The 26,840-nt window shown below is 47.1% G+C and overlaps 2 long non-coding RNA genes across 2 annotated transcripts; one reads left to right on the forward strand and one right to left on the reverse strand.

The window, feature by feature from the left end:
• Positions 4,414 to 26,530, reverse strand: LOC124902760 (uncharacterized). Its single transcript, XR_007062895.1, has 2 exons — positions 26,317 to 26,530; positions 4,414 to 4,523 (listed from the first exon to the last, which is right to left on the reverse strand). It is a non-coding gene; the product is annotated as an uncharacterized LOC124902760 (long non-coding RNA).
• LOC124902759 (uncharacterized) lies at positions 23,810 to 25,732 on the forward strand. The gene is made up of 2 exons (XR_007062894.1): positions 23,810 to 23,946; positions 25,408 to 25,732. It is a non-coding gene; the product is annotated as an uncharacterized LOC124902759 (long non-coding RNA).
• Positions 26,531 to 26,840: the final 310 nt, after the last annotated feature.

Here is a 26,840-nt window from a genome sequence, read left to right on the forward strand (position 1 = left end):
GTCTCCCAGCAAAAAGCAAAAGATTGTGAGGCTGGGGATTGGCCCTCACAATCGTTGTCTCCTGCTGAGCAGAGATTGGGCTAAAGATGGGGAGTGTTCATCACTTCTTTCTTGGGATGTCCCCTGGCCCCCATCTGTTGGAGCCTGGTCTGAGAACCAAAAGCTGCCCCATTCCACTAGGACTTGCTTGGACTAGCCATGCTGTTTGGTGATTCTCATGTCTCAGGCCAGAGGGATAGGAAGGTGAACATTCTGGCACTGTCAATGCATCACTGGTCAGTAAACGGGTGGCTACTGGCAAAGTGTCCAACCAGAGAGCTAGTAAGACACTAATCATCCTATTGATTCTCCATCTTTCTCTCCCCACCCTTCACCCACAGTCAATGGGGTGACAGAGCCCAGCATCGAGGCAGCCAATTAATCACCTTGAGAATGAGCCACCACATGTAACATCTTCTGCTCCAGTAGCTACATCCAATCAGCTCATAGATCTGGCATGTGGGCTGTGTTGCCCAGGTATGAGAAACTGAGGCCCAGGGCCAGAGACCCCCGCAGTGCACTAACTCCTGATCATCAGTACAAATCTTGGTCTTCTCCCAAGGAGACTTTTGCTCCATCGAGGGTATGAGAACATCCAGAATTTCCCTCCCACCTGTTATACCTCCTGGAAGCTGCTTCCTCCCCTCCTCTTGACACTTTAGCCAGTTGCCTCTCATTCTGTCCTAGCAGAGAGGAGACCAGAAACACTCATGTCTTTATAAGTGCTTCCGGGAAGCTTGCCAAGTCTCTTGCCCATCTCCGCTTCTCTCCTGCAGCCTTCTCTATTCACCAACAAGTACACTCAGTTCTCATTTCCTTTTCCCATTTACCCCGTTTCTCAGTGATGTTATTTCTACTAAAAAGATTCCATCAAAGGTGCTGAAAGTGCCCAGCCTGAACCCTTCTGTGAGTTTGTGACTGGCACTGCTTCAAAGCCATGGAGTCTGTCTCCTGCCATCCTGGAAAGGAGGCTGCCTTTCCTCTGGACGTTGGCAACCTGGCCTCAAGGATCTCAAGGGCACCTCCCAGGAGTGGACACTCAGTGGTTTTCTGAATAGCTCAGGCAGACTGGCTGCACTCAGAGGCCAGGATATGGGCATAGGGGAGATTCCCTTCAGAGAACACGAGGCAGAAAAGTTGCCTGGTTGGGTGAAGGAGGGGGAGGAAGAGCTTGCAGAGAGGTGCAGTTCAGCATTCACCAGCCAGATCCTCTTCCCTCCCCCACCTCCCCCCAGCTTCTGAATCAATACATTTTGAATCTAATCTAATAACAGAGATTTAATGAGGGGATAATGCATGTGGAGCCGCCAGGCGCTTTGTCTCTTCTTTCATGCAGCAGCTGGGGCCCATTATCTGGGGACAATGCCCCGTGCTAATCACTCCCTCTCTCTCCTCCCTCCCAAATGTTTGGGGAGGGGAGGTGAGCGAAAGAGGGCAGCTCCTCCCTTGATTGGAGGGAAGTGGAAGGGTGGAGGGGGGAGGATGAAGTCGAGAAGGTTCTGGATGGTTCCCACACAATAGTCTTGACCTGACGCCAACTCACTGGTCTTCTTCCCGGGCCACACTGTGCACCCTGATCAGTGAGAGGTTGGGGGAGCCCTACCAGTGCATACAAACAGCAGATAATTAATTATCAGCTGCAGTATCAGCTCTGGAAGTTGGGTATTTTTTTTTCTTTTTTCTAACTTGGTCCTCTATAATTTAAGCTATCCCATTGAGGCCTGTGATTGGCCAGCCCTGACTGTCATGGTTAGAGAATTAAACCCTGGTTTTAGAGACCAAGAATATCCCTCTCTGAAACAGAAGCCTGATCTATATTCTCTTTCTACTATCTGGAGGCATGGAGTTTAGACTGTAGGAAGAACTTTCTGATAATGCTATTACTAACATGAATTAGATCGGGAGTGGAAAGGGAAGGATTGGAATCTCATTTCCTAGAAGACTTTAAAAAGAGACCTTTATCTGTTGAGGTTGGGAAGGGGCAGATCAGGAAGAAGAGAAGATCTGCCTTGATTTCCTATCAGAGGTCCAGTTGGGAGGGCTCCCAGAGCTGGCACACCCAAAGCCTGACCACTCCTATTCATTTTTTGAAACATACTTATTGAGGACAGTGAAAGAGTGCCGTGTGAACAGGGAGATTCAAAACTTGAAATCTGGCCCCAACACAGGCTAGCTCTGAAACCCTGGACAAGCACTTAGCTGCCCTGTACTTCAATCTTCTCACCTGTAAAATGGGAATCATATTAGTACATGGCTCATAGGTGTGGTGGGGACCGTGCTCCCAATATGGAGCAAAAGTCCAGGAAATCATGAGGCTGTGGTGGGGAGACGGCTAGAGGCGTATCGGCCCTTCTCGGATGGCTCACATCTCATTCTGAATGGGTGAGAACTGCTCATAGGGCACTGTGGAGGAGAAGCCTTTCTCCTTCATGTCCCCATTTTACAAATGAGCGAGTGAGATGAACTGGTCACTCAGCATAAGCCCAGAGGGGGATGAAGCTCCTGTCCCTATCAGGCTGAATCCAGACCTCTGTGTCCAACACTTTCCTGACTCTTTTCTCCCATTACCACCTTCCCTCCTTTGCCTCTGCACACTCAGAGCTTCTTTGCACACGGTTCCTCCCTAAAACCACACCTTTGAGTTCCTGCTCTGGGAAAGCCTATGGGATACTGGCAAACTTTTCTGTGCTCCTCCTATGCAACACCACCTGCTGTGTCCCTGTATCTGCAAAGAGAGCTAAACTCTTGGCAGACAGACACATCATGAGTATGACAGCTGGGACTAGGGGAGCCTGGAAATTCACCACCATGAGCCTGGGAGAACTCCAACCCCCCCCTCCCAACCCCCGTCCCACTTCAGATGGAAAGAAGTATCCATCCTAAAGACCCCAGTGAGATGTCAATCTTTGGCCGGGGCGGCCACAACCCTGCCTTCTAAGTGGTTTCCACAAGGTGGCAGCAAAGTCCAGAAGTTCTATGGAGGGGCCTTTAGGAACTATTTTGTTGCCCCCTTCCGTCCCCCAGCCTCAAAATAAAACCCTCATCCCTCTCCAGGGGCCTTTGAAGCCCCCTTCCTTCAAGGCCAATACTTTCCTTTGGGCCATCATTAAGGACTGTGCTCCAGAGTGCTTTGGAGTGCTTTTACTCTATTCTGATGCTCTGGCAGAGGCCAGCCCCCAGTCCCCACCCCATCACACACCTGTGCCCATGCAGATCCCCCAGCAACTCAGCCTCCTACTTATGTGCTCACACCTGGACCTCACCTTCAGCTACACGTGTAGTTAGTTGCTCCAGCTATTTCCCTTTCTGCTGTTGCAATGAAGATATTGATGCCTGATGGCAAAGAAGGCCATTTTACCCCAAACCCACGTATACAGAGGCTACAGACTCTCTGCCTTTCTCTTCTGCCCATGTCTCTAAAGCCCCAACTCCAGCTCATCTCACACTGGCTTTGAGGTGCTCCTCAATGGTCCTAGGAAATGAGGGGCAAGAGTGAGGTGCTGCCCGGAGCAGGAGCTGGGGGAGGACGAGGTCCGTGGTTAGATGGGGAGGACGCGACCCTGGGAGATGTTCACTCATCAAAGGGCTCCAGGGCAAGGACTGGAGAGAGGAAGTTGGTTCTAGGTAGGGTTTTCGTGACATGATTGCCTCACCCATCCCATGGCAGGTGCTGTTGCTCCTGCTAGCTGTGTGGACTAGTTTCCTGTTGCTGCCGTAACAAGTCACCAATGTGAAACACAAATTTGTTATCATACAGTTCTGGTGGTCAGAAGTCCAACACATGGATCCACAGGGCTGTGTTCCTTCTGGGAAATCTAGGAGAGAATCTGTTTCCTTGCCTTTCCCGGATTCCAGATGCAAGACACCTGCACCTGTATTCCTCAGTTCGCAGTCCCTTTCTTCAGCTTCAAAGCCAGGAGCTCAGTACCTTTGACTCCTCTCTCTCTCTCTCTCTCTCTCTGTGTGTGTGTGTGTGTGTGTGTGTGTGTGTATCTCATCTCTGCTTCTCTGCTTTGCTTTGTCACATCTCCTTCTCTGACTCTCCTAACTCCATCTTTCCTTTATAAAAACCTTTGTGGTTATAAAGGGCCCATCTAGATAATTTAAAATAATCTCCTCATCTCAAGATTCCTAAATTAATTACACTACAAAGTCCCTTTCATCTTGCACCTTAACATAATCACATGTTCTGGGGATTGGGAAGTGGGCATCTTTGGGGGCCCATCATTCTGTCTACTATCCTGAGACCTTAGGCACTTTGCTTTACTTCCCTGTTTCCTCACCTGTAAAGGTGACATCATAAAAGCACTGCCTTATGGATTGCTGTGAAGAATAAAGGAGCTGATACAGGTAAAGGGTCTGGCACAAAGTAAATGGTTGACAAATTTCAACTATGGTTTTATTATTGTTCGTATGTATAAATCTAGAAGCTTCCTGCACAACAAAGTTGAGGTATGGTTCATCACAGACCCGTTGAATTAATACTGTAAAGGAAATAATACTTTTTATCAGGCATTTGTGTAAAATGGCAACTTTGTGGTGATGAATATTGAGTTCCTTTACAACTTTGTTTTTTTAGACAGAGTCTTGCTCTGTCACCCACGCTGGGGTGCAGTGGCACAGTCTTGGCTCACTGCAACCTCTGCCTCTGGGTTCAAGCAATTCTCCTGTCTCATCCTCCTGAGTAACTGGGATTATATTTATTTAATCTCATGCACCATGCGATGGCAATGAAGGTTTACCCAAAACCCATGTATACACAGGCTATGGAGGACTCTCTGCTTTTCTCTTCTGCCCATGTCTCTAAAGCCCCAAATCCAGCCCATCCCACACTGGCTCTGAGGTGCTCCTCAATGGTCCTAGGAAATGAGGGGCAAGAGTGAGGTGCTGCCCAGAGCAGGAGCTAGGGGAGGGCAAGGGTCCTCCCCCAGCCAGGTCCACACCTGGCTCATTTTTGTATTTTTAGTAGAGATAGGGTTTTGCCATGTTGGCCTGGCTAATCTCAAACTCCTGGCCTCAAGTGATCTGCCCACCTCGGCCTCCCAAAGCGCTGGGATTACAGGCGTGAGCCACTGTGCCCAGCCCCTTTATAACTTTAGAAGAAGAGAATAGAAAAGCAGAGTCATGGAGGTAATGATTCCAGGACACCAGACTGGCAGGAGACAGATGGTCAGGCCAAAGACGACCTCTGTCTTTTCCCTACCTCCTCCTACTCCCAGGATCTGCTCATCTTCCTGGGAAGATGAGGGGTTTAGATGGTGGTAAGCACTTTTTTTGAGCAGAGTCTTGCTCTGTCGCCCAGGCTGGAGTGCAGGGGCATGATCTCTGCTCACTCCAACCTCTGCCTCCTGGATTCAGGCAATTCTTGTGCCTCAGCCTCCCAAGTAGCTGGGACTACAGGTTTGTGCCACCACTCACAGCTAATTTTTTTTTTTTTTTGGTAGAGATGGGGTCTCACTATGATGGCCTGGCTGGTCTCAAACTCCTGACCTGCCTCAGCCTCCCAAAGTGCTGGGATTTCAGGCGTGAGCCACTGCTCCCAGCCCAGATGGTGGTAAGGACTTCTTGAAGCAAGAGGTGTTAAACACAGAATGGGTGTAGAATTATTCACTCAGAAGCCTTTAACAGAGACACCCACCCCTTCCAAGCCTCTCCTGTAGAGGCAGGAGATGGACAGGATGACCTCTAGAGACCTTCTGAGCTTCAGGTCCAGGAAATCCTGCCTTTCCATCTGCGTGACACCTAATCAAGGGCTCAGGCTCCAGCTCTGTGCACTCCATCCTTTCTTCTTGGTCAACCCTTCCACCCCCCCTGCCCTTTTCCCCCAAGGGCTCGTTTTTCTGGTTCTTACTAATGAAACTCAAATCCATATGGGCTTGTCTTTGGGCTTAAAATTCCCATGAGGTGTTCACTCCTAAAAGTCCCCTGAAGGTGAGCAGAGCATTTCTCCTCCTACTTTGTCCTCAGCCACGATGTGCTCTCTCAATGCCCTCTCCTACGTCTGTACTCTCCCAACAACTGTAATCCATGTGTTTATTGTTGGGTGATTTGTTTAGCATTTATCTGGCTCCCAGCCTGTAAGTCTTGGAGGCAAATATTTCACACCCTCTTTTCCACTCACACATCCCTTGACACACAGCTCACGCTTTGTATTTAGTGAGCATGGCAATGAATGAATGGACTGGGGCTGGGAACAGGGACATGGACCATGCAGAAGGAAGACCATATCTAAAACCCTTCTCTGGGCTACTCTTCAGCTCTCACCATCACTGCTGGTTTGAGTAGGGAGAAAAGAGTGGAGGCAGCTGAGAGTGAATCTTCTCTGAGACCCCTGAAGAAAATGAATCGGTGGCTCACGCCTGTAATCCCAGCACTTTGGGAGGCTGAAGTGGGTGGATCGCTTGAGTCCAGGAGTTTGAGACCAGCCTGGGCAACATAGTGAGACCCCGTCTCTACAAAAAATAAAAAAGTAGCTAGGCTCATCCCTCTAGTCCCAGTCCCTCAGGAGGCTGAGGCGGGAGGATGGATTGAGCCTAGCAGGTCGAGGCTGCAGTAAGCTGTGATCGTGCCACTGCACTCCAGCCTGGGCAACAGAACAAGTCCCTGTCTGAAATAAAGAAAAGAAAAGAAAACGAATCCTTTTCCCCCGGAAGTTCCACATTGTGCTCTAGTGGGTTTGGGGCTGTGTCTTCCAAAACCATGATCCCCTGTGGCAAGGACTTGACTGGATTTTACCCAGTGCCATATCGAGTCCTGCACGGTATGCTGGGCATAGGACAGAGGCTCAATCTTTGTAGAATTAATGAAGTGGGTGCTAGCGCAGGTTCTCTTGAAGTCCATTTCCTGTCAGGATGACCATAAAAGTTATCATCCAAACCGGAGAGTTTCTGTCCTGGAAAAAGAAGTGCATTGACAATTGCACATAGACGACGCCCTCAGGTGGGGCTGCCCCAGGCACGCAGGGCATACGGTGACGCTACCTCTCAGGTTCTCCCCTTCTTCCTCAGCTGAGACCAGAGCCCCAGCTGAGACCAGAGACCCAGCTGGTTGGGCTGTGAGCTTCTGATTCCCAGGGATTCTCTGACCTGCCCCCTAGAGTCAAGAGAACTCCGGCTAGGGGAGGAGGGGAGAGGTCTCAGCAAGGCCCTTTGTCCACTGTGGGGTCATGGCTTTTCTCCTGAGGTTCGCCTCAGGTCAGAAGAATTTCCTGTGGGGTCACAGGTCAAATGCCACATGTCCTCAACAGAGCTAGGAGGAGATCTAGCCCTGCCTCTGCCCTCCCCTCCCCCAGGAAGAAGGATGGGCTGATTCTGGAGCAGGAAGCAGCCGCTGAGAGGGTCAGGAGCCCTGGCCTGCAGGCGGGGAGGGGCTCTGAGGGAATCCCCTCTCCCTCCCCGTCACCCCACCACCCCCCACCGTCAGAAGGACAGGGTTCTGGTCACTCCCTCCACCCTTACCCAGAAGGCATCCTTGTACGTGGGGTGGGTGGAGGGGCGCTGCTGGCAAAGGGGACATGCTCCGTGGGGTGGAAAGTTGGCTCTATGGAGCTGAGTTGACAAGGGATCCCCAGATAAGCCATTGCCTTGAAAGTCTATTTTTCAATAATAATCCCATTTGTAGAGGAGAAACCCATATACTTCCCTGCAGAGTAAAGAGAATGCGCAATTGCTTTTGCTAAAGGGGGAAATAGATTTGGGTCTCTTCAGAGCTTCCTGAAAGCTCCCTGGGGGTTCCCAGAGTTTGAGGGTGAAACAGAAATCCCTCTAGGGCCAGGCCATATCTAAGCAGCAGCCCCTCTAAGGGGCCCGATGTCAGAGAGATGGTGGCAAACGGGGTAAGAAGCCCTGCGCCAAAGGTCTACTATGATGTATGCTGGGATGTGGGATCAGCATCACCATCTCCCGCTTGTGTCTGGGGCCCCAGCTTTACAGCATTGCTGTGTCAGGTTGCAGAGGTTGTGTACTGCACAGGCCTGGGTGCACCATTTACATAGACTCTGATGTGAATGGGCCCCTGGAGTTGTACCACTTAGGAAGCTCTCATCACATGGCTTTACACATGCTAGTTTCTCTGCCTAGAATGTCATTCTGGTAAGTTCCTACTCAACCTACAAGACCCAACTCAGAGTTCATCTCCTCCACGGAGTCTTCATGTCTTCCTCTTTGGCTCATGTATCATGCCCACACAGACTTCTGTTCTGTGACTTACTACACAGTGTTCCAATGATTTTTTTTTTTTTTTTTTTTTGAGACGGAATCTCATTCTGTCGTCCAGGCTGGAGTAGAGTGGTGTGTGATCTCAGATCACTGCAACCTCCACCTCGCGGGTTCAAGTGATTCTTCTGCCTCAGCTTCCCAAGTAGCTGGGACTACAGGCATGCACCACCATGCCTGGCTAATTTTTGTATTTTTAGTAGAGATGGGGTTTCACCATGTTGGCCAGGCTGGTCTCGAACTCCTGACCTCAAGTGATCCACCCACCTCGGCCTCCCAGAGTGCTGGGATTACAGGCGTGAGCCACTGCGCTCGGCCCCAGTGATCTATTTAAGTGTTTGTCTTCCCCACTCTTCTCAGAATCTTAACCTCCCCCATGTCCCTGCCTTCCTAGCACAGTGGCTAGAATATGGAGGCACGGAGTGAATAATGATGACTGAGTATTGGAGCTGGAAGGGCCTGTGGGGGATCCCGAACCCTTTTGTTGTACAGAAGAAGAGACTGCAGCCCAGGCAGGTGAAGTGTCTTTCACTTTTGCAGCAGATGGGAACATGCAGGATAGATTCAGGCAGTGATGAGCCCTCAGTACTGTGGACAGGGCAGTCTTACAGGAATGAGAGTGGTCTCTATTCTGAGAACCCTTGGAAACTGGGACCCAAACCTTCTTTTTAGTAGGTTACTCCCTCCTGTCCTCTTCTCTCTCTCCTCTCATTTCCATTGCTGGGTATTTTAAAGGCTATTTTGACTCTCTCTGTTGTAATAAGAAACTAGCAATTAACTATTATAAGGCTGTTTTACAATCGTGTGGAAGCCCCTTTTATCCACGTTGCTTTAAATGGTTACATCTTTTATCCCTAGTTTTCAGGAATATAAAACTTTACAGCGTTTGCTGCAAACCTTCATACTTTGCTTTGCGGTTTATTGCTCCCTCTGCAGATATATCTTTCACATAAATAAGACTTTCATCTGTACAGTACTGGGCTTCATCATTGCAGCTCCCTGTGATTTCATCAGTGGAACTTGGCCTTGGAGCACAAGGTGATTCACATGGAGCCCCCAGATCCCCTGTCCTCTGATCAGGGCTACAGCAACAACCCTGGGATGAAGGAGGTCATGGACTCCAGAGAGAGGGAGGCATGGTGCAGAGTCCTGGAGGGGGTTCCCCCCATTCACCCTGTGCCTGATCTGAGGTTTGGTTCCCCGGAGACACAGGTCGAGAGTGTCCTGGCTTCTCCCATCTTTGGGTGGAGAAGTCTTCCCTGGAGGTAGCTAGGGAATGGCAGAAATAGGCTTACTCAGAGCTCCCCGAGTCATGCCTGGGCAGAGGATGAACGAAGCTCATGGGCAGCCACTGCTCTGGCCATCTTGAGGTGCCAGTCTGAGGGGCAATCTGAGCAGAGGCACCATCTGGAACAGCCATGGTGGCAGGGAGGACCACACAGACTCCTGGGTTTGAACTGATTTTCTGTTTTACTGAATTTGGAGTGTTTGGATCAAACACAAAAATGGATGAATGAATAGCACCTCATATGGTGGCCATGAGAATGGCCTCCCCTGCACCCCCAACTACAGTGGGTGTAATGGATCAAGGACCCTAGCACTGCTCTGAAATCCATGGCAGCCCATGGCTGCTTTTGTGCCAAGGCCATGCTGCTCCTAGCCAGTGACTGAGCAGGACAGGGATGCTAAGGGAGGCCTATTCCTGGGAGACAGGGGACTCCTCTGAGGGCTGACAGGCTGGAGGACTCCCCAGTGGCCTTGCCAAAGCTTCCTTATGCTGCCTGGCAGTCTGGGAAGATCCTGCCCAAGCTTCCTTCCCTCCCTCCTTCACTCACGTCAGCACTGCATCGCTGTCTGACAGCTCTCACAGCCTTCCTTGGCTCCCTCCCCATTTCCCTCACAGGCTTTTGCCCTAATAAAATCCTTGCACATTTAATCCCGTCTTGGCATCTGATTCTCAGAGGACCTGGAATAGAGCATCTCTCATTTACATAAAGAGAGGACATTGTATGTATGAGTGTCACTGTTAGAGATTCTGTGTCTCCATATTGTTTGTGTAGATAGTTGTTAGGAAGACACAGAGACAGGTAGAAGTGGCGTGTAAATGTTTATTTGCAGTGCTGGAAGCAAAGGTGTATGTACCTCTAGGTATAGACATACGTAGGTGGGTATAAGTCAATAGCTATAAATATACTTTTAAACTTGTCATCCAACACTTGGGAATCAAATGCTAATTAGCTGGTGTTGTTATTATATATGTGGGAAGAGTAATGCATGTGTAGCTATAATAATAATCTAACATATACATCTTTATTTATACACATGATTTTACTTAATCCTCACAACAACTCTGAGAAGTTCAATTATGATTTCTATTTCACAGTTGAAAAATGGAGGCCAAGAGAGGTATTCCAGTAGCAAGTGGCAGAATCTGGATTCTTCTGCAGATAATTGTATGTATATTAAGCTAAACAATTAATGTGCATGCATAGAGAGGAACAGGTGGGATAGGTGGATAAAGTGTATGTATCTGAACATATGTGGCAGCTATGTGTGGACCAGCAAATAGATTAGGATATATAAACTTCTTCCTACAATCTTGTCTGTAACTCAGGACTGAGGATATGATTGTGTTTGAACCTGAGCTCAGACTGTGTTTGAACCCCAGCTCAGACTGTGTTTGAACCCCCAGTTCTGAAAACTTATTTCACTGCTCAGCAGTGAAAAACCCCATTGCCTCCTCTTATTCATCTCATCACCTGGATTCAAGGAATCCATGAGTTAGCTCTAGCACTTGGCATCGTCAGTAGCAGATAATGATGCATATATCACTTTGTGTTTTGTATAATTGTTCTCACGTCTTGTTTTCAAAACTAAACTGCTCTTGCTAAGATCAATACAGACTTCCTAGTTGTCCAATCCAATGGAAACTTTTCAGTGCTCCCTCTCTGTGACATTAACAGTGTTGAGCACACTCTCCCAAATCTCTTCTCTGTGGCTCCTTTGATGCCACCTTGTTCTGACTTTCTTCTCCTCTATCTGGGCGCCTCCCTCTCAGTCTCCTCTTGGCTGCCCTTTGTCCGTTCTGAGGCAGACACTACTTGTTGCCTACCTAACAGTTTTCTTCCCTTGCTCCTTTCTGATGGAATTCTGATTTTGGCCAAGCATCCCCCTTCCTCTGAGTGGCAATGGAGTTCCTGAGAGTTGAGCCCAGTCCTTGCAATGAATCCTGGTCAGTCTAAACTACCGGTTCTCAAAATGTGGTCCAGAACTAACAGCATCCACCTCAGCTGGGAACTGTTAGAAATTTGAATTCTTGGCCGGGCGCGGTGGCTCATGCCTGTAATCCCAGCACTTTGAGAGGCCGAGGCTGGTGGATCACAAGGTCAGGAGATTGAGACCATCCTGGCTAACACAGTGAAACCCCGTCTCTACTAAAAATACACAAAATTAGCCAGGCGTGGTGGCAGGTGCCTATAGTCCCAGCTACTCGGGAGGCTGAGGCAGGAGGACGGCGTGAACCCAGCAGGTGGAGCTTGTAGTGAGCTGAGATTGCGCCACTGCACTCCAGCCTGGGCGACAGAGCCAGACTCTATCTCCAAAAAAAAAAAAAAAAAAAATTGAATTCTTGAGTCTCTTTTGAGTCCTACTGCATTGAAAGCTCTGGGGGTGGAATCCAGCAACCTGTGTTTTAACCAACCCCAGGCCATTCTGATGCGTATTCAAGTTTGAGAACCACTGGTCCAAGCCAATCATGGTGAGTGAGTGGTCTCGTTCCCCTTTCCAGTAATTGGATTAGGCACGGATATGATAAAATTTTTGCAAATGTGAGATGAGAAGCTTGCTGGAGGAGAAGGTCTCAGAGAGATTTCTTTGCTTCTAGAAGAGACATGAAGAAGAGATGAGCCCTCTTCATCTGATGAACACTGTGGTGCCGACGTGGTGCCTGGGACTGTGGTAGCCAGGTTTGATAGTGAGGAACAGCCTACAGGCAAGCCAGCATGTTGAGAATGGCAGAGCAGAAAGATGGAAAGGGTCTTCTATGGGCCGAATTGAGTGCTCCCAAAAGGAATGTTGACATCCTCACCTCCAGCACCTCAGAATGTGACCTTATTGATATAATAAGTAAGACCATTGCAGATGTAATTAGTTACACTGTCTTACTCGAACAGGGAGGGCCCTGCATGCAGCATGACTGGTGTAACAAGAGGAGAGAGACACTCCAGAAGAGGAGGGCCGTGTGATGGCAAAGGCAGAGGCTGGAGGGGTGCATCCACAAGCCAAGAAATGCCAAGGACTCCTGGTAACGCCAGAAGGTGGAAAAGTCCAGGAAGGATTCTCCTCTGCCAGTTTCAGAGAGAGTGTGGCCCTGATGACACCTTGATTTTGACGTCTAGCTTCCAGAACTGTGAGAATACATTGTGGGTTTAAGCCATCCAGTTTGTGGGACTTTATTATAGCAGCACTGGGACACTAATACCAGGACCTCATGATCTAGAAACTAACCCTACAGACACCCTGGACTGAGACCGCTTGTTATGTGAAATAACTTTCCTTATCATTGAAGCTAGTTGAATAGCAGTATGTTTTTGTTTTTCAATTACTGGCTTGCTACAGTTTTCTGACTGATAACCCTTAGGTCTTCGTGTTCCTCAGGGTCTGCTCTTGGTCTCCTCTCTTCTAACTTTACAGCTGGGGAGACCTCATCCACTCTCACAGCTTCAGATACCACCCAATGGGCTCCTAACCCTCAAATCTGTGTCCCCAACCCAGACTGCACTGTTGAATTACATATCTAGTTTCTATCTAACATCGTCCCCTGGAGATCCCCCTCAAACTCAGCATGTGCGATTTCAATTTGCTATCAACCCCCTCCTACAAGCTGTACTTTCTATGTTTCCTGTTTCAGTGAATGTCACAACTACCGACTTAGGGGTCCCAACAACATACCTGGGTGTCATTCCATCTTTTTTCTCTCATGTCTAGAACATCCACAAGTTCTGGGTTTGTTTTTGGTTGTTTTGTTTTGTTTTGAGACAGAGTCTCACTCTGTTGCCCAGGCTGGAGTGCAGTGGCATGATCTTGGCTCACCATAACCTCTGCCTCCTGGGTTCAAGTGATCCTCCCACCTCAGCCTCCAAAGTAGCTGAGATTACAGGCATGCACCACCACACCTAGCTCATTATTGTATTTTTGTAGAGACAGGGTTTCGCCATTTTGCCCAGGCGCTGGTCTGGAATTCTTGAGATCAAGCGATCTGCCCACTGTGGCCTCCCAAAGTGTTGGTATTACAGGCATGAGCCACTGAGTCCAGCCAAGTTCTGTTGATTCTACCTTTTCTCCCTATTATCTGTTGCATTTATCCTCTCTTTACCATCCACATTTTTCCTGAAAGTCCCCATCATTTTTGCCTGGGATATAGCAATGCCTAACTCTAGCCTTGAACAATTCTCCATGTTACTGACGACTTAAAATGCATCTTTTAATGTTTGGTAGAATTCACAGGTGAAGTCACTTGGGTCTCTAATTTTCTTTGTAGAGATTTTTATTTTTTTAATTACAGATTCAATTTCTTTAATAGATACTGGAGGCCAGGTGCAGTGGCTCACCCCTGTAATCCCAGAGCTTTGGGAGGCCAAGGCGGCTAGATCACCTGAGTTCAAGAGTTCGAGCCAGCTTGACCAACATGGTGAAGCCCTGTCTCTACTAAAAATACAAAATTAGTCAGGCCATGCCTGTAGTCCCAGCTAGTTGGGAGGCTGAGGCAGAAGAATTGCTTGAACCTGAGAGGTGGAGGTTGCAGTGAGCCGAGATTGCGCCATTGTACTCCAGCCTGGGCGACAAGAGTGAAACTCTGTCTCAAATAAATAAATAACAAATAAAAAAATACAAGATTTCTCAAATTTTCAATTTCTTTTTGTGCCAATTTAGTAAGTTGTGTTGTATTAGGAGTGTGTCAATTTGATTTAAATTTTCAGAATCTTTTGGAATTAAATAGTTTGTTACAACATTTATAACTTTTTTTTGGATACAGAATCTCACTGTATCACCCAGGCTGGAGTGCAGTGGTGAGATCTTGGTTCACTGCAACCTCCACCTCCCAGGTTCAAGAGATTCTCTTGCCTCGGCCTCCAGAGTAGCTGGGATTACAGGCACACTACAGCCACCAGGCCCGGCTGATTTTTTGTATTTTTAGTAGAAACGGGGTTTCGCCATGTTGGCCAGGCTGGTCTCAAACTCCTGGCCTCAAGTGATCTGCCCACCTCAGCCTCCCAAAGTGCTGGGATTACAGGCATGAGCCACCATGCCCATCCTGTTATAACATCTTTATATTAGTTTTCCAAGGCTACTGCAAAAAAAAATCCCACAAACCGAGTGGCTTTCAAAAATAGAAATGTACTGTCTCTCAGTACTGGAGGCCAGAAATGAAGGTGCCAGCAGTGCCATGCTGTCTCTGAAATCTGGAGAGAAGACCTCTTCCTTGCCTCTTCCTAGCTTCTGATGGTGGTCGTCAATCTTTGGCATTCCTTGGATTGCAGCCATGTCACTCCAGTCTGCCTGTTGTCACCTGGTGTTCTCCTTGTGTCTCTGTCTGCTCTTTTTTTTTTTTTTTTTTCTGAGACAGAGACGAAGTCTCACTCTGTCACCCAGGCTGGAGTGCAGTGGTTCAATCTTGGCTCACTGCAACCTCCGCCTCCCGGGTTCACACCATTCTCCTGCCTCAGCCTCCTGAGTAGCTGGGACTACAGGCGCGCGCCACCATGCCTGGCTAATTTTTTGTATTTTTAGTAGACATGGGGTTTCACCATGTTAGCCAGGATGGTCTCGATCTCCTGACCTCATGATCCGCCCGCCTTGGCGTCCCAAAGTGCTGGTATTATAGGTGTGAGCCACTATGCCTGGCCTGCTCCTCTTCTTATAAAGCCATTAGAATATTGGATAAAGGCCCATCCTACTTCTATAGGACCTCATCTCAACTTGATTACATCTGCAAGGAACGTGTTTGCAAATAAGGTCACATTCTAAGATAGTGAGGATTAAGATTTTAACCTATCTTTCCTAGAGGACACAATTTAATCCATAAAAATCTTATTATAGTATCATAACTAATGCATTTATATCAAAATGCTTAAAGCCAAGAAAATCTTTTAAGAAGAATAACAAGATTGGAAGATGTACACTATTGGTTATCGAGACTTATTACATAATCACATGCAAACACAGGTAAATATACCAACAGAACAAAATAGAAAATCCAGAAGTAAACTCAAAACATACAGACACTTGATTTAGGTGAAGGTGGCACTGCACAGTGATAGTGAAAGGACGGTCCCTTTAACATACTGGGCTGCACATGGAGAAAAAAATGTATCTTGATCCGACTTCACATCGATCACAAACATCAATTCTAGATGACTGATACATCTAAATGCACAAATTAAAATGACAAAGTTTTTAAAAGAAACAGAGAATACTTTCATGATCTTATAGTAGGCAAATATTTTTTTAGCTGGACACAAAAAGCATCAACTATTTTGGTGATGTGTTACATTCACAGCCCTCAATGAAACACACCTGATTGTATTCACCGCCTTGTGTGGTCCCTTAAATCTGGGCTGGATTTGTGATTCTAATCAATAGAATATGGCCTGGCATGGTGGCGCATGCCTGTAATCCCAGCTACTCAGGAGGCTGAGGCAGGAGACTTGCTTGAACCTGGGAGGCAGAGGTTGCAGTGAGCCAAGATCGTGCCACTGTACTGCAGCCTGGGTGACAGAGCAAGACTCCATCTCAAAAAAAAAAAAAAAGAATATGGAAGGCTGAGAGTGGTGGCTCATGCCTGTGATACCAGCACTTTGGGAGGATTGCATGTGGCTAAGAGTTTGAGACCAGACTGGGCAATATAGCAAGACTCCATCTCTGCAAAAAATGAAATAGAATACAGCAGAAGTGCTGTTATTATGCTAGTTTCCAGCTACAGCTAAGGATTCAGGACCCTAGAGAGAACTCTTGCCCACTTTCCTGTAGGGCCTTTCATGGTAAATCCCATCATACCTGACATCCCTGTTTACTTTAGGAAGCTCCAGAAGTCCAAGCCTTTTAGACCACCTATTAGATCACTGGTCCAATGGATCACTTGTCTCCAAACTCCTGATTATATCTTCTAAGCTGACCCATTTCCCAGATCCCCCAAATGCTTTCACATCTCCTCTGGAGCTTCCAATCTATAACCAGTTAGCTCCGCAATATACTCATGTCTGTCCTCTGAGGACACAGTCTCCTCCGTAGTCCTCTCATGTAGTTCAGGGGTGAGCCCCCCGACACCATGTTACATATTTAACAAGTGCCTGGGTGATTATGCTGCTGTCAGGAATCACACCCTGAGAACCACCGCCCTTGATTCTGATCCTAATGCCTGCTTTACACATATCCTCAACTCTCTGGCTGGGAGGATCCCTTTCTATTGTATTTACCTCACAAAGCCACAACCTGATTGAGTCCATTTAGCCACGTTCTCTGCTCCCACATCTGAGTAGTTGAATGTTCTTGGAGAAAATCAAACTGAGGTGACTGGATTTACTATAAATTCACAGCCTCAAACCACAGTGGACACTAAACATGCATTGGCAAACCTACACTTCACTTTGAAGTATTTCTCACTCTCCAAATAATTCTTTTATTATTTCCCCTCTTTTTTTCAAACTTTCCACACCAGTCTCACTTTGCTTCGTGGTTAGATGACCTCATCCTTTACTCCTATAGAGAAAATAGGCGCCATTGCAAAGGAACCTCTTCCTCTTCCCGCCACCAAATCCACAGGCTGACCAGCTCCTTCACCCAGATTCTCACAGGCTAAAATGCCGGAAGGGGGATTCTTTTGAAGGCACCCCCACCTCTGGTGCTCTGAGCCCCACCCTTATTGCCTTCTCAAGGACTCTGCCCTGCAATTATCTCCCCTTTCCTCTGCATCATCGCCATGTTGCCCAGGCTGGTCTCGAACTCCTGGGATCAAGTGATCCGCCTGCCTCAGCCTCCCAAAGTGCTAGGTTTTCAGGTGTGAACCACCATCCCTGGCCCACATTTTTTTTTTTTTTTTGAGGATCTCACTCTGTTGCCCAGGCTGGTGGGCAGTGGCTCAACCATGGTTCACTGCAGCCTCGACCTCCTGGACTCAAGGAATTCTCCTGCCTCAGCCTCCTGAACAGCCATGTCTACTGCATCATCCTTACAAACCAACAGATTCTAGTGTCTCCTATCACTAAGAAAACACAAAACAAAGAAATCTCCCTTGAAACTGCTCCAAAGGGAAATTTGAAATAGCTTTTAATTTGCCTTTCCCACTTCTTCACTTTCAATTCTTTCTTTAACTTAGTCTGGCCTCAACACCCATCACTCCGTGAATCTGTCTTTGTCAAATTTACCAGTGGCTATATACAAATGGCCGATAAGCACATGAAAAGATGTTCAACATCAGCAGTCATTAGGGAAATGCCAATCAAAGCCACAATGACATATTTTTTTCATATCTATGAGGATGGTTCAAATAAAAAAGGCAGACAATAACAAGCAATGGTGAGGATATACAGAAATTGGAACTCTTATACATGGCTGTTGGGGGTATAAAAAGGGTGCAGTGACATTGTTTTTTGTTTGTTTGTTTTGAGACGGAGTCTTGCTCTGTCACCCAGGCTGGAGTGCAGTGGCACTATCTCGGCTCACTGCAATCTCTGCCTCTGGGTTCAAGTGATTCTCTTGCCTCAGACTCCGAAGTAGCTGGGATTACAGGCGCACACCATCATGCCTGGCTAATTTTTGTATTTTTCGTAGAGATGAGGTTTCACCATGTTGGCCAGGCTTATCTTGAACTCCTGACCTCAGGCGATCCACCAGCCTCGGCCTCCCAAAGTGCAGGGATTACAGGTGGTATGAGCTCCAGCACCTGACTAAGTGCAGCTACTTTGGAAAACAATTTGGCAGTTTCTTAAAATGTTAAACATAGACCTACCATATGACTTAGCAATTCAACTCTAGGTATATACCCAAGAGAAATGAAAACATATGTCCATAGATAAATTTGTATGCCAATGTTCATAGCAGAATTATTCATAATAGCCAAAAAGTGGAAACAACCCAAATTTCCAACAACTGATGCATGAATAAATAAAATTTGCAATATCCATACAATGAAATGTTAGTCATAAAAAGAATGAAATATTGATACATGCTACAACACGGATCCTTGAAAACATTCTACTCAGTGAAAAATGTCTGATACTAAAGGCCACATATTATATAATTCTTTTATATGAAATATCTAGAATAGGCAAATCTACAGAGGCAGAAAGTAGATTCGTGGCTGCCTGGAACTGGGATTAAGGAGAGTTGTGAGGAGGAGAAAGGGGAATGACTGCTAATAAGTATGAGGTTTCTTTTTAGGGTGATGAAAATGTTGCAAAATTAGATTGGGATAATGGTTGCACAGCTCTGTTATTATACTAAAAACTGCTGTTACTGTACACTTTTTTTTTTGAGAAAGGGTCTTGTTTTGTTGCCTAGGCTGGAGGGCAGTGGCTCAATCACAGCTCCCTGTAGCCTCAGCCTCCTGGGCTCAAGGGATCCTCCTGCCTCAGCCTCCTTGAGTAGCTGGGACTACAGGGTTCACCACCATTCCTGGTTAATTTTTAAAAACTTTTTATAGAGACTGGGGTCTCACTATATTGCCCAGGCTGGTCTTGAACTCCTGGCCTCAAGGGATCCTCTTGCCTCAGCCTTCCAAAGCACTGGGATTACAGGCATAAGCTGTTGGGCCTGGCCTACTGTACACTTTAAATTGATGAATTTTGTGACATGTGAATTGCCTCTTGATAAACTTGGGTTTTTAAGTTTTTTTTTCATTATTATTTCTTATTTTAAGAGACAAGGTCTCACTCTGTCATCCAGGCTGGAGTGCAGTGGCTCAATCATGGCTCACTGCAGCCCCAAACTCCTTGGCTCAAGTGATCCTCCTGCCTCAGCTTCCCCAGTAGCTGGGACTACAGGCATGTGCCACCACACCTAGCTAATTTTAGATTTTTTTTTTGTAGCAATGGGGTCTTGTTATGTTGCCCAGGCTGTATTTTTAAAAGCAATTGAAAAACCTTACCAGCAGGCTTCACATCGCCAATTCCCCTTTTCCTTATTCCACTCCCCTTGACCTTCCAGCAGGATTTGACAGTTTACCGCTGTCTTTTTCTCTTTTGCCTTCCATGAGCCCTCAGTCTCCTTTGTGGCTCTCTTGGCTGGAGAGCCCCAGGCTCTGTGTAGGACCTTCTTATCATCTCCATTGACACTTTATCACTCTGGGAGCCTATCCAATTCCATCCCATGACTGTAAACACCATCCGGATGCTGATGACTCAAAACAAATCTGAACATCTCCTTCTTAGTCTCAGATTGATCTATCCAACACGTATTCAACATCTCCCTATAGTGATCTCATAGTCATCTCACACTTAGTATGTTAAAATGTGAACTTTTAATTCCCATGCTCCCCACCGCACCACCAATTTTATTTCTACTCAAGGTTTCCTGTCCCAGTAAATGGCAACACTACTCACAAAACTGTCCAGTTCAACCTTGATTTATATATTTTCCTCCACCACTACACCCGATCATTCAGCATGCCCTGTCTGCTATATCCAAAATGCATCCCAAAGCCATCCACTCCTTCCCTTCTTTTTGACACTGAATTCAAACCACCCTCATTTTCCACCTGCAACAGCCTCTTAACCCTTCTCCCTGCTTCTACTCTTTTTATTACTTTCCCAGTAAGATCCCTCCTTGACTTCCCATGATGTGCCACACCCTTTCCTGCCTCGGACCTTTGAACATGATGTCCTTCTGCCTGAAAGGACTTAACTCTCTGTGTGGATGATGCATTTTCTTTCTTCCTCTCCCAGCTCATGTCACCTCCTCAGAGAAGTCTTCCCTGACTGTTCTTTCTACCTCCACCCCTCTCTCAGTTATTCTCTAACATATCATGCTGCTTTTTTCCCTTATGACACTTACCACAATCCATAATCATCCTCTGTATTCTACTTTTTATTTTTATTTTTTTCGAGATGGAGTTTCGCTCTTGTTGCCCAGGCTGGGGTGCAATGGTGCAATCTCGGCTCGCCACAACCTCCACCTCCTGAGTTCAAACAATTCTCCTGCCTCAGCCTCTCGAGTAGCTGGGATTACAGGCATGTGACACCATGCCCGGCTAATTTTGTATTTTTAGTAGAGACGGGGTTTCTCCATGTTGGTCAGGCTGGTCTTGAACTCCTGACCTCAGGTGATCTGACGGCCTCGGCCTCCCAAAGTGCTGGGATTACAGGTGAGCCACTGCACTCGGCCCTGTATTCTCCTTTTATCGGTCAACTAATTTCGTAAATATCTACTGTGTATCCTCTGTGCCAGGCACTGTGCTAGGAGCTAGAAGTAAAATGGTAAGCAAATAGACAAGATCTCCGTCCCGAGGAAGCATGTAACTTAGTGAGAGATATAGATAATCATCAAATAATCATACAAATGACAACATAGCCACAAACTCTGATCAGTGCTTGCAAGAAAAGCTGTTAGAGAATATAATACCTCATATTTACTGAGTGTTTATGATGTTCTGGATGCAGAGCTGAGTTACAACCTGTCAAAGTAGGGACTCATGATGTACAAGTTTACTCGTGAGGAAAGTGAGCCTGAGTGTAGATAAGGAACTCAGAGTCACATAGCTAGATGGTGGCAGAGCTGGGGTTCCACTCATGCGTGTCTGACTCCGCACCCCTGTTAACACGGTCTTGTCTCGCTACAGTCTTTCATCATTTTCCCCCTGTCTTTAGGACTCCTCTCTTCTTAGTCTCCATCATCATAATCACTCTTTTTGCTCAATCCCTAAGTGCTGGTGCCTCCTTGGCTTCTGTTTCCAGCCTTCTCTGCCCTGGGTGTCCCAGCTGGGCTGGAGCTGAAATCTGTACAGTAGTCACAAAGAGGTAGGCAAATTTTGGAGAGCAGTCTGGCACTACGTATCTAAATGACAAGCCAGCAGTTCGGCTCCTGAGATCCCAAAGCAGTTTTTACTCCAGACCTGGAGGATCCCTGGACAAGGAGAATCACAATGGCATTACCTGTGAGGGGGGCGAGGCTGCACAACCCGGGTGCCCATCACCAGGTGGGTGCATCCATCAGTATGTGTGGTGGCTGCAGTGTGGAGTACTCTGAGTCCATTGGAAGCAACAGATTAGATATGAACATGAACAGAGCTTAGCAGAAAAGGTAAGAAACAACAGTAGAGCCATAACAAAATATTTATGTACATTTAAAATGCATGTACCTTAAGACAAAAATGCATTCTAAGCCGGGCATGGTGGCTCATGCCTGTAATCTCAGCCCTTTGGGAGGTCGAAGTAGGCGGATCATCTGAGGTCAGGAGTTCGAGACCAGCCTGGCCAACATGGTGAAACCGCGTCCCTGGCCAGGTGTGGTGGCTCACGCCTGTCATCTTAGCACTTTGGGAGACTGAGGCAGGCAGATCACTTGAGGTCAGGAGTTTGAAACCAGGCTGGCCAACATGGTGAAACCCCATCTCTGCTAAAAATACAAAAAAAAAAAAAAAAATAGCCAAGCGTAGTGGCGGGTACCTGTAATCCCAGCTACTTGGGAGGCTGAGGTAGAAGAACTGCTTGAACCTGGGAGGCAGAGGTTGCAGTGAGCCGAGATCGTGCCATTGAACTCCAGCCTGGGTGACAGAGCAAGACTCCATCTCAAACAAAAAGAAAAAAGAAACCCTGACTTTACTAAAAATACAAAAATCACCCAGATGTGGTGGCACTTCTATAATTCCAGCTACTCAGGAGGCTGAGGCAGGAGAATTGCTTGAACCCAGGAGGCAGAGGTTGCAGTGAGCCGAGATCATGCCACTGCACTCCAACCTGGGCGACAGAGTGAGGCTCCATCACGAACAAACAAACAAAAAAAACAAACAGAGAACACATTTTATAAGAATATATAAAAGCAAAACCAGCCGGACATAGTGGTTTATGCCTATAATATCAACACTTTGGGAGGCCAAGGTGGGGTCACTTGAGCCCACAAGTTGGAGACTAGCCTGGGCAACATAGCAAGACCTAGTCTCTATAAAAAATAAAAACAATAGCCTGGCATGGTGGAACGCACCTGTGGTCCCAGATACTCAGGATATTGAGGAGGGAGAATGGATTGTGCCTGGGAGGTCAAGGCTGCAGTGAGCCGTGATCGCGCCACTATACTCCAGCCTGGGTGACAGAGTGAGACCCTGTCTCAAAAGAACAAAACCAAAACCAGAACCAAAACAAAAGCAAATGTACACACACAAAGTAAACCATATAGAATGGCTTCTTAGAGGAGACACAGGAACAGACATACAGTACAAATGGGTGCCCGTGTGTTCTACTTGCAGCAGCAGGCCTAGTTTATGAGCCCAGCATAATAAACATTAGAAACTTTTTTTTTTTTTTTTTGAGATGGAGTCTCGCTTCGTCACCCAGGCTGAAGTGCAGTGGTGCAACCTCGACTCATTGCAACTTCTGCCTCCTGGGTTCAAGTAATTCTCCTGTCTCAGCCTCCTGAGTAGCTGGGACTGCAGTTGCATGCCACCACAACCGGCTAATTTTTATATTTTTAGTAGAGACGGGGTTTCACCATATTGGTCAGGCTGGTCTCGAACTCCTGACCTCAGGTGATCCACCCACCTCGGCCTCCCAAAGTACTGGGATAATAGGCATGAGCCACTGCGCCCAGCCTCAGCATAATAATCATTAAATTGCCTCCTTTTCTTCTAAAAAGTGCTCTTGTTGGTAGGGTAAATATATGGTCACTGTAAATATGAAAAGAAAAGGAATAAAGAAATGAGAGATCTTACACAGACCTCACATTCTCCAGAGGTGACATGAACTGGGGACTACACTTAACTCAACTGTCTGCACCTGAGATCCAAATCAAAATAAAACAAACCACCAGAACTAGAGTAAGCAAAGAAAACACCAGCTCAAAAAACAAAACAAAACAAAAAAACAAAACAAAAAAACGCCAAAAAACAAAAAACAACAACAAAAAAACCACCACCAAGATTTACACAATACTTAGGTCTTCAAGTATCTGTTTACATGAACTGACTCACTTGGGTCGAAGATGGTTGGTGTATGGGGACAGGGACTCTAAGTATCCCCATCTGGATTCCAGGCACAGAAAGGCACATCAGGTGCACTGGAAGGGGGGAGGGGGGAGAGTGGGGGTAGCTGGCAGAGGACAAATCATAAGAACTTTGGAGCCTCTGGGAGAAAACGCCCCACAAAGGAGACTGGCAAGATGAGGTACATCCAACAACAGTGTCTGGCAGTCAAAGGAGGGCAGGGATCTAGGTACTGCAAGGCAGATGGTTTGGAGGAACCCTCAGAACCCAGTGGATGGCAGGTTGCACGCTGGGCTCTGAGGGTGGAGCTGAAGATCCACCATTATGCTGTCAGTCACTATGACAGCCTCCTAGCCAGCAGGGAGGAAGCATTCCTCTTCTGAACCTCCCAGAAGGCAGCCACGTGGCACCACCTGCACTGCCTGCAGCTTCTGTTGCACCTGGGGCAGAGCTACGCTTGGCTGCTGACACCTATGAGAAGGCAGGCATGGTGGACCTTCCGCAAAGGTGGGATCAGTCATTAACAACGGATTCACGAATGTGGGTGAAGGCTTTTTAAGATGTCAGGAGCTCTTGGGGAAGCATCTTTGCAAGGATCTTTGGGTGGGGAATCAGAGCTAATAAAATTGATATTTGGCTGGGCATGGTGGCTTACACTTGTAATCCCAGCACGTTGAGAGGCTGAGGTGGGCAGATTCACTCGAGGTCAGTCAGGAGTTCGAGATCAGCCTGGCCAACATGATGAAACCCTGTCCCTACTAAAAATACAATAATTAGCCAGGTGTGGTGGCAGGCACCTGTAATCCCAGCTACTTGGGAGACTGAGGCAGGAAAATTGCTTGAACCCAGGAGGCAGTGAGCCAAGATCACACCATTGTACTCCAGCCTGGGTGACAAAACAGGACTCTGTCTCAGGAAAAAAAAAAATTGATATTTCCCTGTGAATGTGCTAACATTTGTTCTTATGAACTGGTGAGATGAAGGGACAGCCAGCTGACACTGTCACAGTAAAAGCAACCATCTCTCACTTATTCTCCTCAAGCTAAAACCCAGATGTTTTCATAGACTCTCTCTCTCCTTCATCTTTCAAAATTAATTGGTTCTTAACTCCTGTTCAACTTTTTTTTTTTTTGAGACAGAGTTTCAGTCTTGTTGCCCAGGCTGGAGTGCAATGGTGCGATCTCGGCTCACTGCATGCTCCGCCTTCCGGTTTCAAGCGATCCTCCTGCCTCAGTCTCCCGAGTAGCTGGGATTACAGGCACGGGCCACCACGCCCAGCTAATTTTTGTATTTTTAGTAGAGACGGGGTTTCACCATGTTGGCCAGGCTGGTCTCAAACTCCTGACCTTGTGATCTGCCCACCTCGGCCTCCCAAAGTGCTGGGATTACAGGCGTGAGCCACCGCGCCCAGCCCTCAACTTTTTTGACACTTTTCTAATCTATAATTATTGTGTAGCTGTGGCTACTGTGCTTGTTCAAGCCCTGTCATTTCTCTCTTGATGTGACATTTATTTGTCAACTTGACAGAGCCATAGGTGTCCTGATATTTGGTTAAACATTATTATGGGTTTTTGAATGAGATTAAGATTTGAATCTGTAGGCCAGGCACGGTGGCTCACGTCTGTAATCCCAGGACTTTGGGAGGCCAAGGCGGGCAGATCACCTGAGGTCAGGAGTTCAAGACCAGCCTGGCCAACATGGTGAAACCCTGTCTCTACTAAAAATTCAAAAATTAGCTGGGCATGGTGGCGTGCACCTGTAATCCCAGCTACTTGGAAGGTTGAGACAGGAGAATCGCTGGAACCCAAGAGGTGGAGGTTAAAGTGGTAGTGAGCTGAGATCACGTACTCCAGCCTGGGTGACAGAGCAAGACTCTGTCCCCTACCCCGAAAAAAAGGATTTAAATCTGTAGACTGAGTAAAGCAGAGAGAGTGTCCTCCCTAATGTGGGTTAACCTCATTCCATCAGCTGAAGGCCTGAATAGAACAAAAAGGCTCACCGTCCCATGAATAGAGAGAACTCCTCCTGCCTGACTGCTGTGAGCTGGGACATCCATTGTTTTCTGTTTTTTGGATTTGAACTGAAACATCAGCTCTTCCTTGATCCTGAACCTGCTGGCTTTCTGACCGGAACTTGCACCAACAGCTCTCCTAGTTCTCAGGCCTTTGGACTTGGACTGGAATTACACCATCAAATCTCCTGGGTCTCCAGCTTGCCATCTGCAGATCTTGGAACTTCTTAACCTCCACATCCTGTGAGCCAATTCCTTATAATAAATCTCTTTATAAATATATACATCCATCCTATTGGTCTGTTTCTCTGGAGAACCCTGATACACTTGGATCACTGCAGTAGCCTCCTGAATAGTCTCCCTGTGTTACTAAGCCACTTGGCCTTCCACATTACTTTCAGAGTGATCTTCCCAAAACATAACCTGAATATGCGTTTTTTTGTTTTTTTTTTTTTTTGAGACATAGTCTCACTCTGCCACCCAGGATGGAGTGCAGTGGTGCGATCTCGGCTTACTGCAACCTCCGCCTCCCGAGTTCCAGCGATTCTTGTGCCTCAGCCTCCTGAGTAGTTGGGATTACAGGCATGTGCCACCATGCCCAGCTAATTTTTGTATTTTTAGTAGAGATGGGGTTTCACCATGTTGGCCAGGGTGGTCTCGAATTCCTGACCTCAAATGATTTGCCTGCCTCGGTCTCACAAAATGTTGAAATTATAGGCATGAGACACCACGCCTGGCCCTGAATATGACTTTTTTATGTCTAGCTCCTTTCAATGACTTCCCATGCTTCCATGATAACATCAAAACTCTTTGGCATCTCCACAAATTCCTTCATGACTAACCACTATCCTATGCCCTTCTCTTACCTCTGTCCACATGAATAAATTCCAGTCTCACTGAACTGCCAGCAGTTCTTCAAAAGGGCCTGGCCACCTCTTCCCTTTTGGAGTTTGCTCAAACTCTTCCTCCTGCCTGGAATGCCTGGGCAGGACATGGCCCATAGCTGGTCTACGGGCTTGACAGCCTGACTCAGAGCCTGCAAGGGCAACTAACTTTTATTCCAGTTCTATACACTGAGTTCAGGAGTGAGTATGACCAGGCTGTGTTGGAGAGTCAGGATCAGGTTTTCATTATGACCTAATGTATTGTGTGCAAACTGGAGCCTGCATACTACTCTAAGATGATCATGCACTCGGTGACCCCAGGTGTGGGGGTCTTTGGCAATAATGTGGCGTGGGTCATGTGCTGAATGTTCCAGCCTTGTGTGTAGGTATGGATATGTGTATATGAGTGTAAATGCAAGCAGATTTATCAGAAGCTAAGTGTCAAGGCCCCTCATTTGCACAAATCCCTTCCAAGGCCCTTAAAAGATGAATGTTTGGCTGGCCGC

Source organism: Homo sapiens, chromosome 11 (genome assembly GCF_000001405.40).
Source record: "Homo sapiens chromosome 11, GRCh38.p14 Primary Assembly".
NCBI lineage: Eukaryota > Metazoa > Chordata > Mammalia > Primates > Hominidae > Homo > Homo sapiens.